This window comes from Homo sapiens, chromosome 9 (genome assembly GCF_000001405.40).
Source record: "Homo sapiens chromosome 9, GRCh38.p14 Primary Assembly".
Taxonomy (NCBI): domain Eukaryota; kingdom Metazoa; phylum Chordata; class Mammalia; order Primates; family Hominidae; genus Homo; species Homo sapiens.
In genome coordinates, this window is record NC_000009.12 from 137579039 (window position 1) to 137590987 (window position 11949).

General features: G+C 58.9%; 1 protein-coding gene across 2 annotated transcripts, besides 8 other annotated features; it reads right to left on the reverse strand.

Annotated features, from left to right (window-relative positions):
* Positions 167 to 1138: an enhancer, noted in NCBI's record as "H3K27ac-H3K4me1 hESC enhancer chr9:140473657-140474628 (GRCh37/hg19 assembly coordinates)". NCBI's record gives its function as "activates a minimal SCP1, AML or CMV promoter by ChIP-STARR-seq in primed H9 embryonic stem cells {active_cell/tissue: H9 hESC(primed)}" and the evidence as "EXISTENCE:reporter gene assay evidence [ECO:0000049][PMID:30033119]".
* Positions 233 to 292: an enhancer, noted in NCBI's record as "active region_29353". NCBI's record gives its function as "activates an Ori minimal core promoter by ATAC-STARR-seq in GM12878 lymphoblastoid cells {active_cell/tissue: GM12878}" and the evidence as "EXISTENCE:reporter gene assay evidence [ECO:0000049][PMID:35858748]".
* ZMYND19 (zinc finger MYND-type containing 19) lies at positions 3043 to 11474 on the reverse strand. 2 transcript variants are annotated; one of them, NM_138462.3, is made up of 6 exons: positions 11175 to 11474; positions 9621 to 9680; positions 8679 to 8785; positions 7929 to 8069; positions 3945 to 4125; positions 3043 to 3648 (listed from the first exon to the last, which is right to left on the reverse strand). In NM_138462.3, the coding sequence occupies exons 1-6, from the start codon at positions 11223 to 11225 to the stop codon at positions 3505 to 3507; spliced, it is 684 nt and encodes a 227-aa protein (NP_612471.1). In that variant the 5' UTR covers positions 11226 to 11474; the 3' UTR covers positions 3043 to 3504. The 2 variants fall into 2 exon arrangements, with proteins under 2 accessions (NP_612471.1, XP_005266109.1); XM_005266052.5 differs by lacking the exon at positions 11175 to 11474 and adding an exon at positions 10366 to 11149.
* Positions 9001 to 9519: an enhancer, noted in NCBI's record as "H3K4me1 hESC enhancer chr9:140482491-140483009 (GRCh37/hg19 assembly coordinates)". NCBI's record gives its function as "activates a minimal SCP1, AML or CMV promoter by ChIP-STARR-seq in primed H9 embryonic stem cells {active_cell/tissue: H9 hESC(primed)}" and the evidence as "EXISTENCE:reporter gene assay evidence [ECO:0000049][PMID:30033119]".
* Positions 9520 to 10037: an enhancer, noted in NCBI's record as "H3K4me1 hESC enhancer chr9:140483010-140483527 (GRCh37/hg19 assembly coordinates)". NCBI's record gives its function as "activates a minimal SCP1, AML or CMV promoter by ChIP-STARR-seq in primed H9 embryonic stem cells {active_cell/tissue: H9 hESC(primed)}" and the evidence as "EXISTENCE:reporter gene assay evidence [ECO:0000049][PMID:30033119]".
* Positions 10560 to 10609: an enhancer, noted in NCBI's record as "active region_29354". NCBI's record gives its function as "activates an Ori minimal core promoter by ATAC-STARR-seq in GM12878 lymphoblastoid cells {active_cell/tissue: GM12878}" and the evidence as "EXISTENCE:reporter gene assay evidence [ECO:0000049][PMID:35858748]".
* Positions 10880 to 10929: a silencer, noted in NCBI's record as "silent region_20630". NCBI's record gives its function as "represses an Ori minimal core promoter by ATAC-STARR-seq in GM12878 lymphoblastoid cells {active_cell/tissue: GM12878}" and the evidence as "EXISTENCE:reporter gene assay evidence [ECO:0000049][PMID:35858748]".
* Positions 10980 to 11089: a silencer, noted in NCBI's record as "silent region_20631". NCBI's record gives its function as "represses an Ori minimal core promoter by ATAC-STARR-seq in GM12878 lymphoblastoid cells {active_cell/tissue: GM12878}" and the evidence as "EXISTENCE:reporter gene assay evidence [ECO:0000049][PMID:35858748]".
* Positions 11370 to 11759: a silencer, noted in NCBI's record as "silent region_20632". NCBI's record gives its function as "represses an Ori minimal core promoter by ATAC-STARR-seq in GM12878 lymphoblastoid cells {active_cell/tissue: GM12878}" and the evidence as "EXISTENCE:reporter gene assay evidence [ECO:0000049][PMID:35858748]".

The following is an 11949-nucleotide window of genomic DNA, read 5'->3' on the forward strand; positions in this document are numbered from 1 at the left end:
CGTCAGACGCGCTGCTCCCTGCGGGGCCGTAGAGACCGAAGGCTTCGGGAAATCCGCTCCTCCACAAAGCAGGTTTGGAGACGGCAAGTTAGTGACAGAGCCGTAGGTTTGAAGCCGCCTCTGCAAAATTTCTATCACTGAGAAAAACCCCAACAGCGAGCTGCGGTAGCGCACCCCGTGGCGCCCTCCCGGTTACTCCTGGCCATCGGGCCGCGCTGACTTAACATTTAGGCTGCAGTTTCCATGACAGGCCTTGCCCCGGAATCAACGCCTTCGTAAAGCTGATGAGGAGCCCGCGCCCCACTAAGCCCAGCACCCCGAGGCCGCAGGCGCGCTCTGCCTGCCTCCTGTGAACCCGCCATGGCGGAGCTGCCCCTCAGAGACCGCCTTCCAGGGTCTTTGCTTGTCTGACACCCGTGGCTGCATCAGGACCCCCCAGAAGCGGCTCAGCAGGTGGACGGCTCCGACCCCTATGATTATCAGCACCAGTCGCCTGGCCGCCGCCCCCCTCCCCCAAAACTGCCTTTGAAAAAACCCCTAACCTAGGAGCTTTGGACAAGATGATCTGAGGACGAACTCCATCTCACATGTGGCCTGGCCGGCCCGTGTCTATTAATTTTTTTGTTTTTTTTTTTTGAGACGGAGTCTTGCTCTGTCACCCAGGCTGGAGTGCAGTGGCGCGATCTCAGTTCACTGCAAGCTCCGCCTCCCGGGTTTAAGCCATTCTCCTGCCTCAGCCTCCCCAGTAGCTGGGACTACAGGCGCGCATCACCACGCCCAGCTAATTTTTTGTATTTTTAGTAGAGACGGGGTTTCACCGTGTTAGCCAGGATGGTCTCGATCTTCTGACCTCGTGATCCACCCGCCTCGGCCTCCCAAAGTGCTGGGGTTACAGGTGTGAGCCACTGCGCCCGGCCCTAAACTTTTTTTCTTTATTGCAATCCACGGTCTGAATGTGTGCAGCGGGCAGGAAGAACCCCTTGGGCCGTTACAGGTTGAACTGTGCCCCCCAAAAAACAATGGACTGAAGACCCCAGCACCTCAGAGAGCATCCTTAACAAACAGGGGCTCTCAGAAGCAGCAGGCGTGGGCCCTGACCCAGAGGAGCAGGAGTCCGCAGAAGAGAAAGCTGATGCAGAAGACTTGCAGGGCCATTGCTGTGCAGAGCACAGGGAGGCAGGCAAGGCACCTGGCAGGGAGGAGGCGTCCGCACCTGAGGGCCCTTGCCTGCGCCTTCATCTGAGACTCCGGCCTCCAGAGCCTAGACTGTGAATTCCCGCTGCTTCAGGCTGCACAGCTCGCGCTGCTTTGTTGCGGCAGCTCCAGGAAGCTAAGGCGGACTTGACTGAAATATACGGGTGCCTGGGTATTCAGCCTCAGGGCTTCAAGCAGGGCTGTGGCTAAAGACATGGCAGAGAGCCAACAGCTCAGACCACCACAGAGACAGAGGCGCAGAAAAGGCTGGCCAGGAAGGCAGCAGGGCATTCCAAAAGGGCCTCAACCACACACCTCTGCGGGGGAGGGAGAGTGACCAGGTGCGCATCCCAACACACCACACTCCAAACAAGCTTTAGAAGCAGCCCCACATTGCAGCCATCTGGATGTCCTCACAGGACGTCTTAGATACCTGGCTACGAAGACCAAGAAGTCGGGGCCACGGAACGGGAAAGATGACCAGAGGATTGGGTATCAGGTGAGAGGGAAGCAGTGGTGGGGCCCGTCCCACCCTCACGGTGCCACCTGCTGGGGTGAGGCCTGGAGGAGCTGCCACATGCAAACCTAGAACCTGCACCGCCCCCTTCCCCAGCGTGGTGTCTCACAGGTGGGAGGCCCTGGGCGCTTCTTTCAGTGCACTTTTCTGATGAATGACTGCCAAACAAAGCAGCCCTGCTGGTCAGGGGCAACATGGCCACACCCCTGGATGCAGGTAAAGGGGACCCCTGCACTCCGTGCTCATCCTCAGACTCTATCTGAAAGCAGGCTGCCTGAGGGCACTCGGGGCTCCAGGCCTGAAGACTGCCCCAAACCCCAACCTGCTGACCCGCCATCTCTAGGGACACATATGTCCCCCTCCCTGGCAGCTTTCACCTACTCAGCAAAAAATGTCCCCAACCTTTGCAGCAGCTAAGGGGGCTTCTCAGGGCCTGATGTGGGCACATGCAGTTCTCTAAGCTCCAGGAAATCCTGCGGAGTTTGTTGATATCACCCATTTTCAGCAGTCCTGTTCTTCAGGAGCCCCCAGGGTACTGCCAGAAAAGGTACTGGAAGTTTTGCTTACAGACAAAAGCCAGCCCAGCCAGGGGCAGCAATGAGAACACACAGGGTGTCCTGGAACATGGCAGTGGAGCTTCAAGAAGGGAAAGTGTAGCAGCAACCTGTGGGACCAACACAGGGTCGGACCGGACCAGACCAGACAGGTCAGAGTCGGACTGGCCAGGCTTCCAGCTCCCAAGAAGCAAGGCCTCTGGCTGGGCGCACCTGGAGACAGGCAGGATCCCAGCCACACAGCCTGGCATGTTTCCCTGGGGCAGCTCTATGGGTACAAGATGCTGACCAGCCCCAGACACCTGGGGCTCCCCAAGGAGAGGGAGGGCTATCCTGGAAACCACAGCCCTGCAGACGGACGGAGAAGTGAGACCCTCACCTCACCCTGGCTGGCCAGCCCCCTCCACCATCTGCAGCAGGCCTGCTGAACATGCCCTGTGGATTCTTCTGGGCAGAAGCTCACTGCTGAGCTCCCAGCCACTTCATGCATAAATCAGGCAAGAACTAACCAATGTCAGGGGCGAGAGCATCCTACTCCCCATAAAACAGCGGGCAGCTGACTTAGCAACCCCACCACTCCTGCCGCAAGACAAGGACAGAGTCTCACTCATACTCCCTGCTGGACTCAGGAAGGTCTGAGCTCACCCGCTCCTCAGAAGGGCCCACCAGGAACAAGGGTCCTCCTGCCTCACCCACAAGGACTCGGCTCCACTCAAAATGACCTCACCCTAAGCAGCACAAGAGGGAGGCGGAGCAGAGAATGTCCGAGAGGCCAGATGATTCCACCCCTTTACTTTGCCTTTGTGGACACAACTCCCGTGCAGGCCGCGCTCCACGGGGCTCCCGGCGGCCCAGGGGAGAAGCTTCGACAACAGGACAGTTTTTAGTCACGTGGCCTGACCGTTTGCCATTTAAGGATTACAGCAAATGATTCTATTTGTAATTTCTACCCTTCCCATTGCCTCCCCCCCAAAAAAAACTGTACATGAGTTTACAAACATATTAACATATAAATAATGAGAACCGTCCTGGTGGGAGCCTCCTCCGTTGTCTCTGCTGGAGATGAACACTGAGGGGCGCTGTAACCACACAGACTGCCTGTGACATCGGGAGTCTCACGGCAGCTGTCCTGGGCCCGCAGCTGGCTTTTTTGGCACCTCCAGGTTCAACCACCAGTCTGTCTCTGCTGTGCCCAGGGTAGAGCCCGGGGGCTGTGAGTATGTGTGGCTCCCCTGCCCGTCATCGCTCTGGCTCAAGCTCATGCTGGAAGGGACGCTTCCTCTCCCGACAGTGCTTCTTGTGGGCAGGCCAGTCCTTCTGCTGGCACTGGGAGCCGCAGTACCGGGCCACCTGGCAGCGCCCACAGATGTTGAACTCCCGGAGCTGAAATACAGAACACCTGTGGCTTCACCATCATGCCTGGGACGCAGTGTGGGGCAAAGGCTGCGTCTTACGGACAATCTGACGGACCCAGCAAAACACCACGTACCAAGGCTGGAGGGCCTGGGCCCTGGTCAGGCCAGCACAAGGGCAAAGGGAGACCACTCTGGTGGAAAAGCCCAAGAGGTGCTAAGCGGTCTCTGGGGAATGGGACCCCGCGGTGGAGGGCAAGATCCCAAACCAAGGCTGGGCTACAGGGTAGAGGTGCCAGGGACGCGACCGCACTGCAGCACACCCACCTGCTTCTCAATCACTGTGCAGGGAGGGTAGTGGCACTCATAGTAGGTGCAAGAGTTCTCCTCCTCTTCCACTACATCCCCGTTGGCATTATAATACCGGGTCACATTTAGGACAGGAAACTGTTCTTCTATAGGGTCTGTAGGCAGCTGCTGAATTGCAAGCCAATACAAGCTTTGCTCCCTTAAAGAAAGAAGCAGACACTTGAGTGCACTCTGGCCAAACGGGGCCAGCACACAGCAGACGATGCAATGACTCCATAGAGTGCCATCCTGCCCAGGACACCCAGCCCGAGTTTGAGTCTCCTTTGGCCCATCCCTGCTGCATGTGCTTTTCACCACCTGACAGTAAATATTGTGTCTCATCTTCCCACTAACCCGTAAGCATGGCCTCATCTATCACCCTCTCCCCAGCACCTGGGACTGACAGGCACACAGTAGGCAGGAGACAGGGCCCAGGTCAGGCCCCTGTGCAAAGCGAGGCGGCCCCTCTCCTTGCCCTTGACCTGCAGAGGTGCCCATTACTGCCCCGTCGGTCCACTTCCCCTTCCATACCGGGAGCTGCCCTACGTCCGTCTAAAAACTCCTCCTGCTTGAGTAGGCCAGATGCCTACAACGGGAGAGTTCTACCAAGAACGGAGCCTCAAAGGCATGTGCACTGGCTGCTCAGAGGCAAGCGTGGGCAGCCCCAGCCCTGCTGCATCACGGAGTAAAGAAGCTGCATAAACCACCCCACCAACCCCGTTCTCCGAAGCCAGACCCTGAGGAGACTTGGTTAAAACGGGGAAGGATCAGGACATGGGAAGATGTTGGTGAGGTCCCACCAGACAGAGGCAAGTTTCAGACACTGCTGGCTTCTGAAGACAGAACAGGAAAACACCCCTTTGCCAAGAGGCCCCTTTTGTGGGGGCTGAGCTGACACAGTGCCAGGAAAGCAAAGCAATAGCCCAGGCCTGACAAAGACAGGGTGACCCCACCACAAAGAGCCGGACCACAGGGAGGCCACAGACTGGGATCCAGACGGACGCACAGCACCCAGCCAGTCAACAAAGACAGGGTGACCCCACCACAAAGAGCTGGATCACAGGAGGCCACAGACCAGGATCCAGACGGACACACAGCACCCAGCCAGACAGGATGTCAGGCCCACACTGGCCAGCTCTGACTTCTGCTCGGGGCCTGGGGTGCTGACCCAGCACAAGAGGCCCAACACCTGCTGGGTTCTAAAACCCCATGTTGGCAAACCAAAGATGGCTGAGCCTGATCAGTCCTGAGCCACCCCAGGCCCACCTCCTGTAGCAGGGGGTTGTGTAAGGCAGCAGCCCCAGCGCAACTCGTCCTGCTGTGCCCTCAGAGAATGGGCATCCTGCCGTGCCCACAGAGAATGGGCTGACCAGGAGCATCAGCCCAACACCCCCTTTCCAAACGGCTGTTCTTAACGGCAGTTATCTCCTCTCCTGATTATAAAGGGTGCTGAGAGGATTCAAGGTAACATTCAGTCACAGGCTGGCCGGACCCTGAGTCTTGTTGAGAACCGGCTGAAATGACCCGCACCATGGCAGGGACAGAAGGCATTGCCAGGTGGAGTGGTGAGCAGCGGGCGAACTTGCGGAGTTGGGAAGGGCCCATCCCAGCATCAACACTGAGCATGTATCAATGTGGGACAACGCAGGAGGAGATGCTACAGATGCTGCTCTGCCTGCCAAGCACGCCTTCCCCTTCCCCTTCCCTTTTCATGTAGAAAAGTGATTCTAAGCAAGCTAACTACAGTTCATCCCAGGGCTTCCCCAGACACCACTAGAACAGGGTGCCTGCTTCAGTCCGCAAGTGCTAGGTAGTGCCCATGCCGCCTCCCAGAGAGGAGCCGGGAGTGGGGGCGCAGAGCTGGAGGCAGCAGCATCCCTGGCTCTCCACATTTCAGTCAGGATACCAAAATGTACCCTATTTTTGTTTCAGCCAAATTGACCTTTGTTTCTGTTTCTTGCAACCCAAAGTTCCAACTAACATAATCCCCGAAAGAATAAAAACCCCATTCAACAATCGTAAGAGGCCTGGCTTCACTCACAAGCAGTATGAGGAAGGTCAAAACTCTAATATTAGAGCAAGGACCGGGCGTGGTGGTGCACACCCGTAATCCCAGCTACTCAAGAGGCTGAAGCGGGGCCAGGCGTGGTGGCTCACGCCTGTAATCCCAGCACTTTGGGAGGCTGAGGCAGGCGGATCACCTGAGGTCAGGAGTTCAAGACCAGCCTGGCCAACATGGCAAAATCCCACCTCTACTAAAAATACAAAAATTAGCCAGGCGTGGTGGTGGGCACCTGTAACCCCAGCTACTAGGAAGACTGGGGCAGAATTGCTTGAACTGGGCAGGCAGAAGCTACAGCGAGCCAAGGTCGCGCTACTCCAGCCTAGGCAACAGAGCCAGACTCCGTCTCAAAAAAAAAAAAAAAAAAAAATGCTGAGGCAAGAGGATTCCCTGAAGCCAGGAGTTCAAGAACAGCCTGGGCAACATAGTGAGACCCATCCGTAAAATTAATTAATTTAATGAAATAAACAGAGCAGGGAAAAAAAAACACCAGCCCAACAAGAACGAAAGACACTTCAGGCTCTGCCTTCGTCCTGAGAGGCCCAGTGAGGAAGGGATGGGGGGGGATTTGTAGGACTCCCTCCAGGGTGGCAGGAACAGCAGTTTGGGAGTGGCATTTTGGAGGCCTGGGGACTGTCCCCACATCACCAACCAGTGTGTCAGGTGCTCCCACTGTTTCCACCTCGGCTGCCCAGGGCTCTGGCATGACTCTGAGGTGACAACTGCAAAGATTCTACCCACAGCCACCAACCATCACCAAGCCCGAAACACTAAACCTTACCAGCGTTGCTGACAACCATCTGCTAGGGCAGTTCGCACTGCCTGCACCAGGAAAGGCTGCCCAGAGGCTTGAGGACGTGCCCAAAAGCCCCAGGGCGCCAGGGGAACATGTCAGTGAAGCGTGTGTGGCTGGGGACTCCCTGGCTCAACTGGGCTCCCAACCCCTATCCTGCTGGTCCCTTGGCTCTTCCCAAGGGCTCCATGAAGTTCACAGACTGGCTGGTTCTAGGGCCAGCAGGAACCGCCCTCCCAGGTGGGAAGCCCATGCAAAGCACTGCTTTCAGGATCACAGGCAGGTCGGGGGCCGAGGGCTGAGCCCTGAACCATTCTCCGCTTTAAACCTTTGCTTAAGGAAAACTGTTTAGCAAAAGAACACAACAAAAAGACCCATCTGTGTGCACAGAAAAGAATCCTGAGGTGAGGAGAGAAGGAAGGAATCCTGAGGTGAGCAGAGAAGGAAGGAATCCTGAGGTGAGCAGAGAAGGAAGGAATCCTGAGGTGAGCAGAGAAGGAAGGAATCCTGAGGTGAGCAGAGAAGGAAGGAATCCTGAGGTGAGGAGAGAAGGAAGGAATCCTGACGTGAGCAGAGAAGGAAGGAATCCCGAGGTGAGGAGAGAAGGAAGGAATCCCGAGGTGAGAGAAGGAAGGAATCCCGAGGTGAGAGAAGGAAGGAATCCTGAGGTGAGAGAAGGAAGGAATCCTGAGGTGAGAGAAGGAAGGAATCCTGAGGTGAGCAGAGAAGGAAGGAATCCTGAGGTGAGGAGAGAAGGCTGATGCCTCCCAGGGGTGTGGGGCAGAAGCCCTGCTCACACCGAGTCCCGACGCTGGCCCTGCCCTGGAGCAGGCAGCCCTTCTCCCCACTGTCATGCCAGCTAAAGGGAGGTTCCCAGAGCCAATTATAAGAGGAGCAATGCAAAAACACACACCATCAAGATCCTTCCCGCTCCCATGAAGAAAAGGAGGATTCCACGCTTTGGGGAAAAACAATGAAATTCCCAAAATACACAGAAGCATCAGGGCTCAGAGGAGGAACAGGAGACCCTCTTGGAAACAAGAGCTTTGGCGGTGGCCCTCCTCAAAAGGCGCCTCTGCTGGCATCGCCAGGCCCTGAGAAGACCCACCTCTGCTTGCTGGAGGTCTCTTCAGCCTTGGGCCGCCAGCCCCACGGCACCAGTTGCAGGTTGTCCAGGCGATTGTCCACGGTCACAGCGTTGAGGTGCACCACCTGGAAGCCCGGGGCCACGCCCCCCCGGTGCCGCTCCCTAGAAACAGACAGCAAACCCTGCATCTAACCCTGCATCGCTGCCTCCCACCCTCACAGACATTTCTGGTCAGGTACCAAAGTCCTTCCAGGAAGAAATGTCAGCCATGTGATCTGATCGGGCCCCTGGTCCTTTGGATGAGGGTACCTCAGGCGGAAGCTGCTGAGAGAAACCCAAGCACCTGATCTGTGGCCCAAACAGGACAGGGACACAGGGAGGACCCGGCCCCTGGACTTCAGAGCACAGACAGCCAAAGCTGGAACGCAAAACCACCTAAGCAGATGGCCTCGAGACAGCTCCCCATCTGAGTGGTCCCTACCATGCACACCGGGGGGGCTCGGCAAAACCCAGCAAGGGGAGCAACCACCGTCCCTCCAGAGGCTGCCGGTCCTGGGCAAGCTCCCAGCAGAAAGTCCACTTGGTGTTTGAAGTGCAACATACAAATCATTCGTTCCTTTGGGTTAGTGGTGAAGGACACAAAAATAACTGCGAGATTCAGGGAAGGCAAGGCAGGGCTTCAGCGGGGCAGGGGGCTCCAGGCGCCCTGTGCCATCGGAGCTCACCCAGGAGCCCAGTGGCGGGGGGCAGAGACAGCTTGGAAACACCCACCACAGCAGCTCATGAAGGAGTCTCCCAGAGCCCCTTCCTCGGTTCTTGTCAAAGGCATAGGCAAATATCTTAGCACCATTTCCATCTGCATCCACTTCCATTCGGGCCTGAGAAGGAACAAGGGAAAGAGCTGTTAAAAAACCTCCAATTCTCAGCAACACTTCAATTCCCTCTTAGAAAAACCAAGTGAAACAAGCAAGCCAGAGGGACAAATGCCAGCCCTGTCCCTGAGACCCTGGGGAGTGCAGAGCTTCCCACAGGCACATGGCTCCCAGGGGCCAGCGTGGCCCACCACCACTCTGTCTATTCGAGCAAGAAACACTCACAAACAACTCTGCAAAATACAATGGGACATAGACAAATACATTTTCCTACCCTTAAAAAAAGCCCACGGTGCAGTGAGATAGAGAACCCCCTGGAGAGGTCACTACTGTGAATGTGTGGGGCACAGAGATAAAGGATGGTGAGGGAGGCCAAGCTCAGCGGCAGGAATGGAAGCTGGGAAGAGGCAGGAAGACCCCATGAGAGCAGAGAACGGGAGGCAGCTGGGCAGCCAGGAGGGACTGCTAAGGCAGGCCCAGCAGAGGTGGCTAGCTCTAAAGAGCAGGGTCTTCGAGCTAACAGACATGGTCCACGTGACACAATCACAAACATGAGAACATTCCATTTGCTTTCAAGAGGAGCTGGCAGCTGGGGTGAAAGTGAGGAAGACCACTGTCGCCAGGCCATGTGGGCCACAGTGGGCTCCAGTGGCAGCAACAGCCAGGTTCTGCAGGGCCACGGCTCGAAGTGGGGCTGACGGCTCAGGGCTCACAGGCCAGCACCAGTTGTCCACTTGTGGGGCCGCCTGCTCTTGCAGCACAGGGGAGAGAGCTCGTTCCTCGTGACCCTCCTGGGCACTGACCACGAGCATCAGGGGAGGGAACAGCCATCCTTACTTACCTCAAAGGAGTAGCTCTCCACCAGCGGGATGTCCTGCTCATCGATCAGCGTGTATTTGGTCTGGAAGTTAACCACATGTTTCAAATCATTACATTTGGGATCTGCGTGAGGTGCAGTAACCTTATAACCAGAACAGGCAGGAGCCTGTTGCATTTTCCTGTGAAGTGGAAAGTAACTACAGGCCTCTTCAGACCAAGACAGCTCAGCACATGGGGGCCTCATTCCACCGTTTGGGGTGGTGCAGTCTACGACAAAACACAGGCAGACAGGTTAAAAGCCAGCTGCCCACTTTAGTCTGCGCCAGAGGAGCTGGTATCAGGCTTCATCCTCGCAGGGCTAACCCCAACAGTGGCACTGAACATTCAACGCACCAATAAACCTAGGCAAAGACTGTTTCACTGAGCTGAGGGAGGGGCCGGGGCTGAGGCAGAAGAGCCAGAAGGTTTTGATTAGGGTGTGTTTATTAAGCTGAGCTACTCACTGATTACCCTTTTTAGCTTTTTGTCCATCTGAAATGTTCCAAAGAAAAGCTGTAAGGGATGACAATGCCATCATGGGTGGAGTTAGAAGGGGTCTCTGGTCTCCGACCTGACTGGAGAGCCCACCCTTCCCTGGTGGAAAAAAGCCTCCTCCCCAGCAGGCCCTGCCTATGCTCTTGCAGCAGGGGCAGGAAACAGGAACAGGTCCCAGAACGGGCCAGTCTCCCTCTTGGCAGTTTTTCTTCTGGGATCTGAACCTGTTTTACCTGACGCCGCCTGACACTGCCTCGGCTCCTCTCTCCCACCAAAAGCCGCAGCCGCTGGTGACGGGAACAGGGCTCCCATCCGGGTAAGGACCCTGGCTGGTGCAGCTGCACAGGTGGCTCCGAGAAACCGCCAAGCCTCAATGCCCACAGGTGCCATGGAATCCCCAGCCTCAAACGTGGAGCGTGGGGGCCAAGTAAGAAGAGAAGTCGAGGAAGGCCCTGAGTCTGCAGCATCAGGGCCCAGGCTTCTTCCTCTCTGCTCCGAGTCTGAGGCTCAGCCTAACGTGGCCAACCCCTGGCAGCGTTAAAACGAGCCTGAAGCCCTGCTGAGAACTGGGAGGCACAGAAGAGCCCACACCAGACCCGCCTCGGCGAGAGGTGTGGAAGTGGCGCTGCCTCGGAAAGGGCGCTGTGTTTAAACCGTGTGGCCGCACTGGCAGCCCGGACGCCGCGCTAGGCCCCGGATCGCCGACACCACTGGGAGGGCTCCGGGAGAACGCGGCTCGGGCTCGAGCCACGCATCTCCGCACCCGGCTCGGGACAGGGCCGTGGCCTCCACCTCCGGCAGGGCAGGGCCGAGGGTGGCCAGGTGCACCCCAGAGCCGAGGGGTGCGTGCCCGCCGGCCTGCGAGAGGAAGCTGCACCCGCGCGGGGCCAGCAGCCGGGCCCGCGCAGCGTCCCCCGCCCCGCTGGGGCCCATCCCGGGCTCCGCGCCCCCGCCCCGGCCGCCGCCCGCACAACCGCCCCCGGCCCCGCGCGGAGGCCTGGACGGGCGAGACGGGCCGGGTCGCGGGCTCCGCGCCGCTCACCTTCCCGGCCACCCGGCCGAGCCGCACGATACCCAATTTGAAGTCGGTCATGGCCGGGCCTGCGCTCTCGGCCGGCAGCGCCGCTCCCTCGGGAGGCGCCGAGCGGGGGCCGGGGCGAGGCCGCGGCGCGCCGGGACAGGACGGGACCGGAGCCGGGGTCGGGGTAGCAGCCAGGCGGGCTCCGGGCGGGACGAGGCTGGGCCGGGCTCGGGCCTCCGCCGCCGCCTCGCGCCCGCCGGACCTGCCACGCGCCGCCGCCGCCGCCGCCACCGCCACCGCGCGCACCACAGCGAGCGGAGCGGAGGGGCGGGGCGCAGCCCCGGACACACCCCCCGGCCCGCCGCCGCTCGGCCAATGGCTAGGCGCGCACGGCGCCGACCGGCGCGCGCCGCCCCGCAACAACCAATAGGAGGAGGGCGAGTGCGCCGGCGCTCTGGGGAGCGGGGCGAGCGCGGGGGAGGGGCGAGGCCGGGGGCGGTGCCTGCGCGCGCCGACGTCAGTTTCGCGGGAAGCTTTGTGCGGGCAGCGGCGCCGCGCCTAGAGGGGCAGTGCGGAGTGTGGCTGGGGACTCGCGCCGGGTCCGTGGAGCTCTGCGAGCTGGCTGCTTTTCGCCTCCCTTGCGGTAGCCTCCGTAAGCTGTTTCCCGCCGCCGTCCTGGCCCCGAGCGCGGAAGGAGGAGGTGGACGGAGCTCGTGCGGGGCCCTCTGGGCGGGCGGGGAGCGGGCGAGGCGGGCTAGGAAGAGGCCGTTGCCGCGGGACGCGGGTGTTTCTGGAG